Source organism: Homo sapiens, chromosome 3, assembly GCF_000001405.40.
Source record: "Homo sapiens chromosome 3, GRCh38.p14 Primary Assembly".
Taxonomy (NCBI): domain Eukaryota; kingdom Metazoa; phylum Chordata; class Mammalia; order Primates; family Hominidae; genus Homo; species Homo sapiens.
The window spans coordinates 22,160,526-22,177,149 of NC_000003.12; the positions used below are offsets into that span (position 1 = coordinate 22,160,526).

Below are 16,624 nucleotides of genomic sequence, written 5' to 3' on the forward strand. Positions count from 1 at the left end.
CTTCTGACACTTTAAATATCTTCTGGGGCAATCAATGGAAAGAAAAAAGAATAGATCAGTGAGAACTAGAAATTAAAATTCTATTTAGCTTTTCTGTTAAATGAAAGAAAATTTAATGCTAGCAGCAAAGATAAGGGCAGCAATACTCTGGATTTATGTGCTACAAAACAATGAACACCAAAAGACTCTAGAATACTTGCAGATAAAGCTGAATTATTTGATAGCAGTTTCAGCCCAATAAAAATAGGAAACCAGGCTTAATAAATTAACCCAAATATGACAAAGATAGTGTGAATAAAATAAAGCTGACACGGTAGGTCAACTTGTTACTCAATCCTTCAACAAGCATTAACAACAGCTTAAACTATGTTGAGCACATGAAACTGAATTAATTTGCCATAGAAGGTTTAAACATCCTAAAAGTTATGCCCCTTGTAATATGTCTTTCAAAATGCTGCTATGAATCAAAGAACCATTCTTAATCTAATCTTCAAATTTCTGTTCTTAGACAAAATCCCTTATGATACTTTAATACTTCATTCTATACCTCATAATGTTAAAGCTTTTCCATTATAGAATATATCACATAATTAGAAAACAAAATGGCAAATATGAGTAAAATCTTAATGCTTACCTAGAAATCTCAACTCCACTACTAATTTCCTATGGTAATTAAAAAATATATATCATAAAATGTAGTGATATACAAACATTGTTATAATGCTTGTAAAACTGTACAAACAATATTTCTTATTCATACTTGCATTCTTGATGAATTGTGACAAAAATTAGAAGTAAATATTTTTATAGAATGTTGGGGACTTTTAATTTACATTAATACATTTGTATGCAGTATATATTAAACCATTTTATAACAGCAGAAAAATAATCTTTATTTGTAAAGCTCAATTGCATCATAAATATAAAATCAAAGGCCTTTTTAAAAGAGGAACTTAGTCATGCAGTCTGTATTGTTTCCTAGATCTATAATATTTATGAGAGGGTGAATCATGAGATCTCTGGAATATGGAAAAGTCAACACATTTAGTCAACTTCTAATATAGAATTCCTTTCTGCCACTTCTTTATTCACATCTTCAAAAAAGTATGCTAACAGAAAAAGATACATTTCTGGCATGATAGAGAATATATAGTGATAAATTATCAAATGATCTATTTACATGACTATTTTATTCGGCACAAAATATTCTCAGCAGTTAGAGTTGTTGATGAAAATTTAAGGAAAACATCAGCTTTGCTGTAATAATATAAGTGATTTAAGAATGACATAAACTCAATAACATAAGAAAATACCCAAATGTATGGTATAATTTTGTTGACAGTAGAATATAAGTTTGCCAGGGAGATTAATGAGTTGTCAATAATGTAGACCTGGGCAGTTCTGAAGACAAACAGCTTTACTGGCAAGTCTGTTAGGTTCTTTGATCCTTGGCTATGTTATTTTCAAAACAGAGGTAATAAGACTTTGTAAGACTGTTGATTGGGATTCAACAAATGATGTATATGAAGTACTTGGAACAGTTGATGCTAGTTCCCTTCTCATTTCTTTTGCATTTTTGATGGCAAATCTTAACTCACAGGTATCAAATGGAAAATAAGAGTTAAGGAAAGTATTAAATCGTGTTGCATTTGCACAATAAAACACATTGTGCATATTTCTTACTGAGACTTTGAAGGAAACCAGAATATTTTACCCCAAAATATATTTCTTTGGCATATTTTAAGATGCTATTCAGAGGGGCTACAGACTACAGGAACAGCTTTGAAAAGCTGTCTTTTTGTGGGAGGGTTTACATCTGTATAGAAAATCTACATTAGTAAAGTAAACAGCAGATGCAAACAGGCTTTCTCTGAAGCCCCCCTTATCTGCCTTACCCAAAACTAAGATTAACTCAAAGAAAAAAAGAGACTAAAATCTAACCATTTTGAAGTTCTAACAGAGACATTTTAACACAGGCCACCATCTATACTTTCTGAGGGCAGCTCTGAGTTTACTTGAGAGATTTTTTATAGGCATAACAAGACAGCCCTACCTGCCATGCTTTCCTTCCCTCACTGTCCTATTACCTGGGACTCCACCCCCCTTGCACTACGCAGTAGGCAGCCATTCTTTCTATAACCTCAGGATAAGGTATAAACTTCAACCATTTGGCCTCTCCTTTGAGCCTCATATTTTGTATGCCTCCCAGGCTTATGCATGTTAATACATTTGTATATCTTTTAATCTGTTAATTGACCTCTCTATGGTCAATTGATGTCAACAGAATCAGAGATGAACCTTCAGAGAGAGAGGACAATTCTCCTTAACAACTTTAAAAATCATTGGTAGTGTCTTATTTGGATTCCCAAGAAGCAGAGTCTAAGATGATTTTGTGTGCAAGTAGTGGGCTGGAGATCTATACCTGTGAAGCGTAAGAAAAGCAGGACATAGTAGAGAGTGAGGTTAGCCTGTGATAGAATTGAAACAGAGACATCAGCAAATCTGAAGCTGGAATGGACTTTCAGAGATGTCTACCCACTTTTGAGGCAAGGAGCTGGGACTTTGTACCTCAGCATTGACTAGCCATTGGACACAGGCTGCTATAAGAGAAGGAACGAGCTCAGAGGAGGTAGTTCCCATGAGCTGAAGGCAATGCTTGTGGAGGAATTTAGCAGGCAAAATTCCTGACTGAGCTGGAGGGACTTTAGAGATTCTTGAATCACACAGATTCTTGAATCAATGAATTCTAGCAGAGCATGAATTCAGGTGGTATACATGCATTCTATATACCTTTATTTCTGCATAACGTACATCGCCGTCAGAAACCGAAGTTAGTCTTAACTGCAGGAACAATAGCCCCCTAATTAATTTATATACATCAGATAGCTTTTCACTGTGATCTTCAGAAGATCATTTTCCTTAATAAGTGAGATGACACGTAAATATGTAAAACATATTTTTCTCAGAAATGTGAAAAACATTTTAGATATGATAATGCTCTTGCTTATTCAAGTTTTTTTTGTAGTATATAATAGACTATGCCTCAAGGCATATAATCACACAATATTCAAATATCAAATAATGATATTTTACCTGTTAGGCAATCCTTAAATGACTGCTAAAAATTAATCCCATATGCATTATTTTATTTGCATCCTGAAAATACTAAAGTACCTGTTTGGATAAATTTAGGTAAAAATCTCTATTGTTATTTCTTTCTTGACATACCATATTTAATTATTTTCCATTTGAAATCTAAATTGTGGTGAAAAGTTTGTGAAGATGAAAGTTCAAAGCAATCATTTTGCAATTGTGCATGTTTAAGGAGAAGAATGAAAGAATTCCCATATCTTTTTCTAAATAACCTAAAAAGGATGATGTGCTTACTAAGAATTTACAGGATCTATTATTTGTACAAATCAACATTTTTAGCTAGGTTTCTGTGTAGGTAAACAAATGACCACTAATAACTGTGTAAGGCTTGTAACTGGGTTCATTTCTTATTCCCAATAAGCCTGCAAAGGCACATTTTAATAGTGGGGATATGGGGGATAGGTAAAAGAAATAATATGTTTCTATATTAAGGTAAAGCACTAATTCGCTTGTGAAATTTATGGCATATAACTAGGCCCACCTATAGTTATAAGTGAGCACTCCTTTTTACACACTATAGGTAATACAAAAGGAGCACTTTTTTTTTTTTTTTTTTTTTTTTTTTTTTTGAGACGGGGTCTCACTCTGTTGCCAGGTTGTAGTACAATGGTGCTATCTCGGCTCACTGCAACCTCTGCCTCCCGGGTTCAAGTAATTCTCCTGCCTCAGCCTCCAGAGTAGCTGGGACTACAGGCATGCGCCACCACGTCTAGCTAATTTTTGTATTTTTAGTAGAGACGGGGTTTCACCATGTTTGCCAGGATGGTCTCGATCTCTTGACCTCGTGATCTGGCCCCTGTGATCTCCCAAAGTGCTAGGATTACAGGCATGAGCCACCATACCCGGCCAAAAGGAACACTTTTTAAAGGGAATTGAGAAAGAAAAAAGGGCAGAGGGCTAGGTTATCATCTACAATTTGCCCAAAGGGACTTTTTTTTTTTTTTTGAGTGAAACCACTTATAGTTTTTCTTCCTGGAAAAAGTCATCTCAAGTGGATAAATTGTTTCCCCTCTGTTGTATAATGCTTTAATTACAACACCCTTTCACCTGATAATCATCAGAAAAGTATGATATAGCCATAGGACCTCATGTGGCTGTGTTATGGGAAACAAAGTGTCCGGATAATTTTTATTTAAAAGCAGGATAGTTCGATGCTAAAAAAGGAATGAGCTATCAAGCCATAAAAAGACACAGAGAAAAGTTACATGCATATTACTAAGTGAAAGAAGCCAATATAAAAAGGCTACATAGTATGTAATTCAAACTTTATGATATTCTGAAAAAGTCAAAACCATGGGGACCATAAAAAGATCAGTGGTTATGAGGGAGGGAAAGATGAATAGGCAGAGCACAGAGGACTTTTAGGGCAGCAAAACTATTCTGTATGATGTTGTGATGTTGGATACATGTCATTACACATTTTGTAAACCCACAGAATGTACAACACCAATGGTAAACACTCATGTAAACTATAGACTTTGGGTGATAGTGATGTGTTGATGTAGGTTAATCAGTTGTAACAAATGTAGCACTGTTGTGCATGGTGTTGATAGTGCGGAAGGCTGTGTGTGAAGGAGGGGATATATGGGAACTTTACTTTCCACTCAGTTATGCTTGAACACGAAACTATTCTTTAAAAATAGTCTATTAAGAAAAAAAGCTGAGTAGTTTGGTCTTTGTCAAGCACCGGTCTGATGGCTGTGGAAAGATGACAGTTTACTATGCTAGGAATCTTATGGGAGCTGATCAGTTGCAAAATAATGTGTGGCCTGGCAGGGGGCTGGATAAGGCAAAAAATACTCAGCAAAATCATGTGGGAAAATATTTTTATTTGTATTCCCACTTACAAATACCTACTGATGGCAGTTGGCAGTATTTAAGAAACTCTTTATCCTACTAAATGTTAGGGTTTGAAATAAATTAGGTTTGCTTTCATAACTCTGAGATTTAGTACAGGAATATAGCATTTCTCCTAATGCTTAAGAAGTTGATTAAATCTTTACACCATTATTTCCATCTAGTTTCCAGCAAATATTACTGGTCTTTCTTAGGAGGAGACCCCAGAACTCAGCTTTATTGAAATTTGAACCACACTGAATTCTTGGCAACTCTTGCCTCAACACAACCCAATCCCACAGGCCAGGGTCCTTAGAAACTTAAATTAACTATTAAGGATTACTACAGAATTTTCTGACCTACTTCAAGTATCATCACTTTCTATTGATTCCTGCTCTTACATTCATACACCAGATCAAATATCTTTGAAAACAGATGGAGCCCAGATTAAGGCCAAATTCATCATACCCTCTCAGATAATGTGATTGACACTTTTGGCTCCAGGATCTCCCCTAATTCCTAGTCACCAAGACTTGGCCCTGATCCTACCATTCTTGACTTTTCTCATCCACATGTCCACCATCCTCTGAAGTATAATTTCAGACCAAACCAATATGACCTAAGATGACCAAGTATTCCCAGTAACCATGGTTGTTTTTCGTGGCCTACATCATGTTACTAATATTAGTAATGAGAGGTCACTGAAAATGTTCTTACTAACATGACGATACTTAAAACGTCTTGGGGAAAAAATCTGAATAGGAAATCCAGCAACAAATATTTTGTTGAATAGTATATTAATCAAAGAATTTGAGGAATATATTAAAATTTTAATTTTTAAATGTTCTCCTAAATGATTTCTCTGTTTGAATGAAGAAAGGCATAGTTTGTACAGAATATTCACTTTGGGAAACAGCCTTTCAAAGTACAGATACTTAAGTGAGTAAGACCAGGGTTTCATTGCAAGTTCAACTATTTAATAGCTGTGTGACCTTCAGCATAGTATTAACTGATGTTATCCTCAATGTCCACATCTATAAAAGGAATATAACAAGATCACTTTGGTTGGTTATGAGGAAAAATTGAATAATAAAATGTATATAAAGCCTTTAATAAAGTGCTAACCTCTAACTGTACTGATATGATTGTTTAAAAATACTGAACTTGAGTAAACTCATACCTACTATCGTGGTTTGAAAATCTTTGGCTATTCTAAATTATGCTTGGGACTAACTCTGATTTGGGTTTCTAAACAAGATGTATCTTTTGTTCTAGTTTTGTTCTATAATGTTGTTTATTACTTCTCCAAAAGAGGTTTGTGACTATCAAGATAGGTGAAGTATAACGCCAAAGCTTATGCTATCATAACCAATACAAACTTAAAGAAAACAACTTGGAATTGAATCGTGCTGTACTTGAGGTGGTTTCACCTAGAAGTTAACAATAAGGAGTAGATTTTTCTTAAGAAGTCTAAGTAGAGACTGAAATATACATTTTAAAATCATGACTTACTTTGCTAGTGATAGCGGTAGGAAGCAGACAAATGCCTAGGCAGATAGGGGCAGGCCCCTGGTGAAACCCCACCTCCAAGCCAAAGACAGCTTAAAGCCTGAAAGCCAAGCTACAAGTCAAATCCATGGACTGGACTGAGAATCTGTCTTCCCATCTGGTGTGCTTTCCTCTGATTGATCCCCACCCTTTACCTATTTTACAAATACCAACCCTTTGCTAATTGGTTTTCTACACTTCTATGCCCACCTTTGAGTGATGCCTTTGCTTTAGCCTTTCCTTGCACACTCACAAATATATCAGCATGTACTCTCCTATTCTGAGCCCATAAAAGCCCTAGACTCAGCCATACTGGGGGAGAAACTACCCAACTGTGGGGGTGGAGGACCACCCACGCATCCCCTCTCCACTGAGAGGTGTTCCATTGCTCAATAAATTATTCTCTACCCTTCTCACTCTTCGTTTGTCAGCATATCCTCATTCTTCTTAGACATGTGACAAGGGCTCAGGACCCACCAATCATGGGTACAGAGAAGGCTGTAACATTGTGGCCCTCTGCCCTCTAATAAGCAGAGGGCAGCCAGCCCACATGACAGAAACAGCAGTGGGGCAGAGCCAGCCCCAAAGCCGTGGGCCGAGGCAGAGCAAGGACATTGCTGGCCAGGTGTTTCTGGCTGGCAAAAGTGATCAAGAAATGTCCTGTGTCACTAGGTTTATCTTATGCCTATAGAATTTAATAGTTCTCAATTACTTTCTGACCACAATTTTTGTTTCTTATATCTCTTTGACAAATAACATCTATAATTAACTAAACGTCATACATTTGAAAGAAATAAAAAATCCTTTCCAATAGAATACTACAGTTCATTCATACTAAAATCAAATAAATGAAAACCACATAAAGCAATGCAGAAGCAATTTCTACTTTAAGAATGTACTTTTATTTTTCTTCTCATCATTTGGCCACCTTGAAGCAAACTACAAAATTATATTAAAAATCTTTATGATGTCAAATATAGGAAGAGATTGACATTCATTCACATTTTTAAATGTCAGTATAATTTAGATGAATTATATTTATCAAACATGAAACATCTGATCACAATATAATATTGTAACTCAAGTTGCAGTGAGTTAGCTCTCTAAAGTCTCCTCTGTACGGGCCCACCCTCCTCTCTTCATGTCTCTATATTTTCTAATAACTTTCCATTTCTTCCCAAAGATATTTTTGTGCTATTTGAAAAATCTATTCACTCATAAATTCAACACATACTTTTAAAAAGTAGTCTAAAGTTATTAAATAAACCATAAATTTTCACTAGGAAACTCAAAAGTCTGTACTAACAGATCATAGTTTATTGATTAAAACACCTATTTGAAAAGATATGCATTATTTCAAACCAATTGCAGTGTTACCAACCAATTGAATCCTGAATATCTGCAGGAATAAAAAAATAAAAAACAAAAACCCACTGTCCTATACACTGTAAAAGGATGTCTATTTCCACACATAACTATACTGAAGGCACACATCAAGAAACTCTAAAACTCTAACAACTCAAAAATAGTAAATTTTCTGCAGGTCACAACCCTAATACAATTAAGTATGCAAAATTTCTCCTTCACTCTCAAAGAGAAATGATGTATTTTAATGTACTCTGCTGATAAAAATTTTAAGTAATATTTTTCCTGGTTTAAAAAAATAGTTCATTCTTTTATCCTCACATCTGCAGGTACACAAATAACTTAAATTGATGATGTAAAATTGAGAAAATATTTTTAGAAAAGCTTACCATTGTCATTTTTCAGCGTCCCATTGCTGAGTTGTTTTAATCTCTTTTGATGTGATTTGCCATTGTAGTGGATTTGTGCTTGAGCGGCTGAATTCAGCTGAATGTTACATACATTGCACAAAGTAAAGTTGGTATGTTTCTTTTCTCTTTCTGGTTTTTCTTCAAAGTCATCAGGTATTAATTCAGCCTCACTCTCGCCATCGTGTACACAGGTGAAATCTGAGGGTGCAAGGAAAATTATGAACAAGCAGATCAAGATTTTTAGATTACTGCATATTTATTAAATTGGGTGGCAAATAAGGATTGTTCTACACACAAGAATTAAAAATTTCTATGTACTCTCATTTTAATAGATTGCTTTCACACTATGCTAAAGTAGACAATCTCTTTAATGGAATATAAATGGCAAATGTTTAACTTTTTATCTATTCCCAATACTGTGCTATATGTTTTTATTACTTCATTTAATTATCATAACAATGTAATAAGCACTATAGTATTCCCTTTTTTATAGCTGAGGAAACTAAGTTTTAGAATGATTAAACAACTTGTCTAAGGTCACACAGCTAACAAGTGGTATAGCTGTGATAAGCATTCAGTTTATCTCTAAATCCAAAGTTTTTAATCATCATGTTCTCTAGTATGTAATAATGAATTAGATTATTTTGTTTTAATTCAACTAAATAAAGTTCTTATATTCCTTACTAGTTAAGTAAAGTGACTTACATCTGGATGGACACATTCTACACATGCAAAGATACTAACACTCTTTCAATACCCCAAATTTTATATTTTATACCTGACACACAAGAGAGGCTTTGAATACCCAAGATAGCCTTATAATCAGGGTACAAAAAAAGTGTGACTGAATTATGGCTTACATTGGAAAGCATTACTTCTGGATAAATGTACGCTTTGTATACTAAAACCAAAGAGAAAAGGTCAACCCATAATTTCAGTATCTCTGGCCTTAATATGACATTTATTTCTTTATTTGAGACAGGGTTTCACTCTGTCACTTAAGCTGGAGTGCAGTGGCATGATCTTGGCTCAGCACAGCCTTGACCTCCTGGGCTCAAGCAGTCCCCCCACTTTAGCCTACTAAGTAGCTGGAACTACAGGTGTGTGCCACCAATTATTGTCCAGTAAGATGGCAATAATTAGAGTAACTATTGTAATCTATATTTAACATCCATTCATAAGTAATTTAAAATAATAATACCTCATTTCTAAGTTTTCTCTACTTCCACTACCCAAGCCTCTCTAGCACACTATGGTCCAGATAGGAGTTCTCCATTCCAATTCTCCCAGTTCTTTAAGGAGTTATTTTAAAGTATTTGAAAAATATTAGCAGAGAAAAACAGTCATGATTTTAATGTGCATTTATGAGCTGACTGCTATGTGACAGCGTCCTCCTAGGTTCTGGAGTTAAACTGACAAGCATCACAAAAGTGGTCCTTGCAATTATACAAACTTAATGATACAAAAGCCATGGACTTTGGAATCAGGTAAATGAGATAACAAATGCTGAAATGTTTTTAACAACATGTAAGTATTATCAGTTTGCCAATAAAATTTTAAAGAAAATCAAACTAGTGAACTCCACCAAAAATGGCTAATACTTGAATCTATTTATGGGTATTGAAGTCACTATCCAAATTCCAAAATGAGTAAAAGGTTGGTCAGTACATAACGCATGCTTTCTTTGTGAACTAATTCATTTAAAATATATTAACTTCCTTTTAAAAAGGAAACTCTATCTCTCTTACTCAGATAACCTTGTTAAAATAATTTAAATATGCAATTTAAATGGTCATTTTAAAAGAAAATTTATAGACTTTGTAAAATGATTAATTTTAATCAAAGGAAAATATGTAAGCATATCAGCTTTCCTTATTTTATATAAATAAAAAAATGTAAGTATCTATCCAGGTTATAATCAGAACATTTCAAAACTTCTTTTGTCTAGAGTTGATTTATGCTTTTAAATCTTTTATCTCAAATATTGTTAAGTAGTAAAATGATTAAGTAAATGATGGTGTGCTAAAATCACAATATGCATAGCCATTAAAAGCAGATCAGGAAAGTTTTATAATATGGGAAAATATTTTGTGTATAAGTAAAAACCAAAAATAAGATGTAAATTTACGTAGAGTATATTTACTACCATATGAAGCACAAACTTGACTTAGAAAAAGTATTAGAATTATTTCATTCTGAGTGGCAAGATTAGAGTTGGCTTGGTTTCCTTTAGCATTTCTGTATTTAAAAAATTGCACATGATGACCATTTATTATGAAAAAATAAATCAATAAATTTCAAAGAAATAAGCCAAAGAACTTATTTCCTCCAGCGTGAACAGCTTAGGTTTGCCAGAATTAGGCAATGCTACAGAGATAGTCACAGTAGGTGTGCCCTTGTAACACATCATTTTTGCTAAATGTATGCATATATTTGGAAGAAAATATTTTCTTATTTGATTCACATTTCCATCTTGACCCACAAAATAAGAACATGTGCTAACAATTTAGCAGGGGAAAATATTGGAGAATTTTCTTTCAAGCCTCTGAGATTTATTTGCTTACACATGAGAAATTCCCTGCTCACCTGAGAAAATAAAGACTATATTATCAGGCAATGTCAACAATTAATTTTGTACTAAGTTGCAAAAATGACAACTTTAAAAGGAAATAGAAAATATGTGGTATTGACACTAAGGAAAAAAGAGAACCTCAAATTATTGTGGCTGGGGTAGGACATCATAAAACATTTACAGATGCCCGGGCACGGTGGCTCACGCCTGTAATCCCAGCACTTTGGGAGGCCGAGGCGGGTGGATCACAAGGTCAGGAGATCGAGACCATCGTGGCTAACACAGTGAAATCCCGTCTCTACTAAAAAATACAAGAAATTAGCCGGGCGTGGTGCCAGGCGCCTGTAGTTCCAGCTACTCGGGAGGCTGAGGCAGGAGAATGGAGTGAACCCGGGAGGTAGAGCTTGCAGTGAGCCGAGATCACGCCACTACATCCCAGCCTGGGCAACAGAGCAAGACTCGGTCTCAAAAAAAAAAAAAAAAAAAAAAAAAATTATAGATTTTGCAGGAAAACTGCAGTGGCTCAAATGGCACTCTCTGAAGTAGGAGGCAATATTCGTAAGCAATTTTCCTCCCCAATATGGTAAAAACGACATGCTTAAATTTTTAAATGGAAATTTGACATATTTGAGTTCCACTGAGAAAAAGTTCAGCAGTCATACATAAACGTTAGGTGACTGTCTTGGAACCCAAAATAATTTATCAATTTGTCCACTTTTTTCCCTCCTAACCTTCACCCCTCAGAACCATTAAGACACTGGAAAGATGTCTGGCTTAATACAGTAATGTAGGTATAGACAGCACTATTTAACATGTTCAAGAACTGGAATTATCCTGAGAGTAATTATCAAAGGAATGAGGTGTTTGTTTGTGTGAGTGTGTTTTAATTTTCTAGATGTGGATACTGATTTACTCTTGCAGACTCACAGGAATAATTAAAATGTGGCACACATAAGATGACTCATTTTTAGTAAGCTATATTAAAAAATGTATGTGAGTTAATTTGAGAAAAAATAAAAGTAGAAACAATATTTTTCTGGGATGCAATGTGGTTCTTGCAGTTGATTTATTTAGTGCACTGTTCTGACGTAAGCTGAAATGTCACCACCTTTGCCAAAGGACCAGCTGTTGGTATCAAGACTGCCCTGAGAAGTGCTCATCTTCTCTAACCCACGCCACCCCTGGCATGGGTCTCTGCTGGACCCTACAATTCGTGTAACCTAATTAAGAATCAAAAGTTGTAGACACAGAAGCCAACTGAAAAAACTCCGAAGAAACAAAGCTGGAGCAACTTGAGCAATAATCAAAGCAACATATTATTGGATTAATACCTAAAGTATAAATTTCAATGAGTATATACTGATATAAATATAAATGAAGGAGATAGATACCAAACTCTCATTTAGAAGTATTCCAAATAACTTAAATAGACATCCTCCATTCAAAGCGGGATAGGGCACAACACTCTTCTTCCTCTTTAAGTATAGGTTATGCTTAGTGACTTGCATCTAAACAGTGTGGTACAGAAAGAGGAGAAAAGTAGCTTTATAGTGAAGAAACCTGACAAATAATACTTCAGCCACATCAAGTTTCACATCAACAGTGACAGGTCACATTGATAGCAAGAATCCTTAATATGACGTGCTAACAATGGTATTTCACCTCTGTGATCTTCCTTACAGAAATAATAGACAAACACAAACTAAGGAACAGTATACAAAATACCTGACCAATATGCAAAACTGTCAAGGTCATCAAAACTAGGGGAAGTCTGAGAAATTGTTACAGCCCAGTGGAGCCTAAAGAAATACTAAAACTAAATGAAATGTGGTATCCTGGATGGGGCCTTGAAATAAAACATGGACATCGGAGGAAAAATTAATGAAATCCAAATAAAACGTAGAGTATCATTAATAATAATGTATTATTAGTTCGTTAGTTGTAATAAATGTACCGTATTTACAAAAGATATCGACAATAGAGAAAATTGGATGGGAGGTCTATGGGAACTCTACCAATTTGGCAACTTTTCTGCAACTCTAAGACAATTATACAGTAAAAGTTTTATTTAATATTTTTTAAAATTTGGAAAATAGAGCAGAGACCATTTTCTCTCCTTGACAATAAAACAGGAACCTCTTGAGAACTTGTGTGCTCTGGGAAAGAACTGAGAAAGAAACTTCTGTTCTCTTTATCCCTTGCTCATTCATCTCACGGTAGAAATAAATTATGTGATTTGAAGAATGAGGGAAACATTCACTGCTTCATGTGCGGTCCACCATCGGATGGCTCTTTATCTCAAATTTGCCTGAAATGACCTTCTCCTATCTTCTTACTTGCCGTATACAAACTTACAATGGAAAGGCTCCCCAGCCCTCTGTGAAAAGCTCAGAATTCTCCTGCCTGTGACTAGGTAGGTAAATTCAATTCAGAAAAGAAACGGTTGAGGGTTGAAAAATCCAATATGGAACACAGTTGTAAGTCATTTTATCTAATTCAAATTTTCCTTCTGAATAACTGGGCTACCAACCCACTAACAAAAAATCTAATACACCTCAACTGATTCCTTCTATTTATTATCAGTTTCAATTAAGATTATAAGCCATTTACACACAAACACACACACACACACACACACACACAGAGATATCCAAGCCAACCATCACATAATTAACAATTTATAAACTTCATATTTGCTTTAGTGTTTTAACCCTATTGCAACTCCCACAATCATTAATATAAAATGAAAGTATGTAAAATAGTGTATTTTAGTTGACAACCAAACCCAATTTTAATGAGTAGAAAACTTTCCCTGCAAATAGTGTGTTTTATCTCAACTTTAACAAGCCAGGTTACATCGTTTTGTCTATGATTGCCTTTAGTCACTGTTCTTGCATCTGATGCCTTGTCAAAGTGGCAAACCTCTAAAATCTCCAAGAATCTCAAGTTTCTAAGACAATCTGAATTGACAATGAAACGTCTGTAGATGACAGCCACTAACAGACAGTTTAGTGCACAATAAACCACAGTGTAAGTAGTTTTACAAATGACTTACAAAGTCATACGACTCTAAATGGTATAAACCAAAATATTCTTGTTTTACAATGACTTCTCCCACTGTGTAATTTTTTTAAAAGTTGGCAGATAGGAATTTACATATCTAGAAGACATTTAGCACAGACACTCTCATATAAATAGTGGTAGAGACCAAGGCTAAACACTGAAAATTCCTTTAGAAATCTTGATATGATAATATCTCCAGAAATTATTTTTGGTTCAACGGAAAATAAAATAAAAATCTAATCTAGAGATACTTCATGGCGATAACACTGAAATACAACTAGTCAGGGTAGATGACAGCTGGCTATTTCATTACAAAGTCAAAATTACAAGTTTATTTGGTAAGCAGCTTTATATTCTTAAGTTTTAGTAATATTTATACAGAACACAACAGGTGACAGATTTTGGCCATTTCTTTAAAAATAACTTCATTGAAAAAATAAAATTTAATGTCTAAATATTCCCCAAATTTTACAAAAGTTTTGCTCAAAAAAACTTATTCTGAAAAGAAGAATCCACCAATACTGACTTCCTTATAGAGTCTCTTATAAAGAGTTCTTAAAATTGCTTTATTATGGAAAAAAAGTACTGTATGGGAAGATATCAGTCTAGTCCATTTCACAGAAGGGGAGTTGTAATTTGTATGATATATACAAATCCTAATGGAGTTTATAATTCTTATACAATTTTCTTGACCAGCTCATAAAATGAAGGTAAAAATATAACAAAGATTTATTATTTGTAAGAATATGATGATACAACTGCTACTGTAATACGTCATTTTGCAGAAAGCATTTAAAATCACCTTTAAAAATGGTAAAAGGTTGTGGAAATCATGAATAAGCATATATAAAGTAAAAAGAGAAAAATACTGTACTCATGTCATGGGATTAGATACTGCTTACTTGGAATATAATTTCCAGAGACAATTATCATAAGTGGATTTTAAAAGCACTAAAATTAATTTGAAATAACTTAGAAAAAATGAGAAAAAAAAAGCTATTAGGTGATTTGAAAGGTGGCTCTAGCCACACATTGCCATTCAAAGTTGCCCATGCAGGATTTAAGTTAAATTGCTTCAGAAAATTAAGACTAGTAATGAACCATTATAGGCAAATATTTTTAAATCTCATTTTTATTCATAAAACTTGTGAAAGAAATTTGGCCTTTTTTCGATGAAAAAAATACGTAGTAACTTTTATTCAGCATTTCCTTGTATTAGGATTTAGAGAGTATTGCTTACATCTGTATATGCATATACATACTGTATATATGTGTATAAATTATACATATGCATATATAATGTATATAGATTTTATGCATCATATTTGGAATACATATATATATAAATCAAATAAACTACTTCAGTAGTGAATCTTCCTCTATATTCAAGACTAATGTAGAAAAATTTATTTTACTGTTATGGTAAAACATTAAATATATATTATATATAATATATAAAATCATATTTATAACATTAGCATTTGAGAAAATTATAGTGGGTCACAATATCTTCTATATTTCACTATTAAAATTGTAAATAGTTCACAAGCTGTAAAGTACCATTATAAAAATAATTTTGCTTTGATCTAATTCCCCACTAGAGTGCAGTGTGAATTTAAAATTAAAACTACAGCATCTGGAAATTCCCAAGACATAAAAATGGCATTACTATAATTCTGTAAATATCTAACATACACATATTCTAACACAACATTCAGCTTCAGTGGTGTGTGTGTGTGTACAGCACAGCTAACGAACTCACCAATATTTAGCCACACAACTCAGATACTAAAGATAAACCAGGGGAAAGTCACAGAACAGAAGATAATCTAAACTGTTTGTCACATGTTATCATAAGTTCTTTACTAAAAAGCATTAATTGTTTTACATCACCTCCTAACTTAAATATCACTTAGGAACTTCAAAAATGAGAACATTTTAATTAGGAACATCTTACTTTTATGACAGGAAATTACATTATAGAAGACTACATAAGGCAAATGAAGGTTAATGGATTGCATTTCAAGTACAGTTTTTATCACATCACAGCATCACATTAAATTTGTTGGTCTCAATACAACCATGGCTTTTACAAGTTGATGGAAGTCTTAACTGAATATTTGCAGACTCACCTACAAAAATTAAGCCCAGAGTGGCAGAATGAGATACAGAATGGAACTTTTAAATGCATTCCTTTCTTCCTTTTAAGCAGTAGACTTTTTAGAATTGTAAGCTTCAAATCAGAATTTCTATTTTGAGTCCTCAGTTTCAAAAAGAAATTTTACCTTAATCTTCAAATGACTCACCATGAAAGCACTAAAATATTTTTGAGGCCAAATGGGAGCCCATAGTTTAACCTCGAAAATAAAAACAACAACATTTTGTTAAAAAAGGTAAATCATTCAAGTAGAATCTACTACTATATAAATAATAGATCAGATATGTCTTAAATTTCAACGTCACGAATGTATTCCTCAAAGTTTCAAAGACCAATGAAAAATTATATTATATTACTATTATTACATTTTTTTAGCCAACAGTACACAAATCTTTTCCTGTATTCTGACCTACTGTTCCTATTTTAGGGATATCTTCTTGAATCAGTCATGCCATCAGGGCCTCCTTGGCAAAACATGATCCCCCTGGAGTTATGCCACACAGCGTGTCTGCCATCACA

The 16,624-nt window shown here is 33.9% G+C and overlaps 1 protein-coding gene across 8 annotated transcripts in view; it reads right to left on the reverse strand.

Annotated features, from left to right (window-relative positions):
- ZNF385D (zinc finger protein 385D) overlaps positions 1–16,624 on the reverse strand; it is a 960,546-nt gene that overhangs the window by 748,308 nt on the left and 195,614 nt on the right. For 6 of the 8 annotated variants that reach the window (XM_017007192.2, XM_017007191.2, XM_011534122.3 and 3 more), the window contains exon 2: positions 8,292–8,510. In XM_017007192.2, the coding sequence (XP_016862681.1) occupies positions 8,292–8,510 (219 nt within the window). Of the gene's footprint in view, positions 1–8,291; positions 8,511–16,624 lie in introns of those variants that run through there. The other 2 variants (XM_017007199.2, XM_047448956.1) reach the window with 1 other exon arrangement.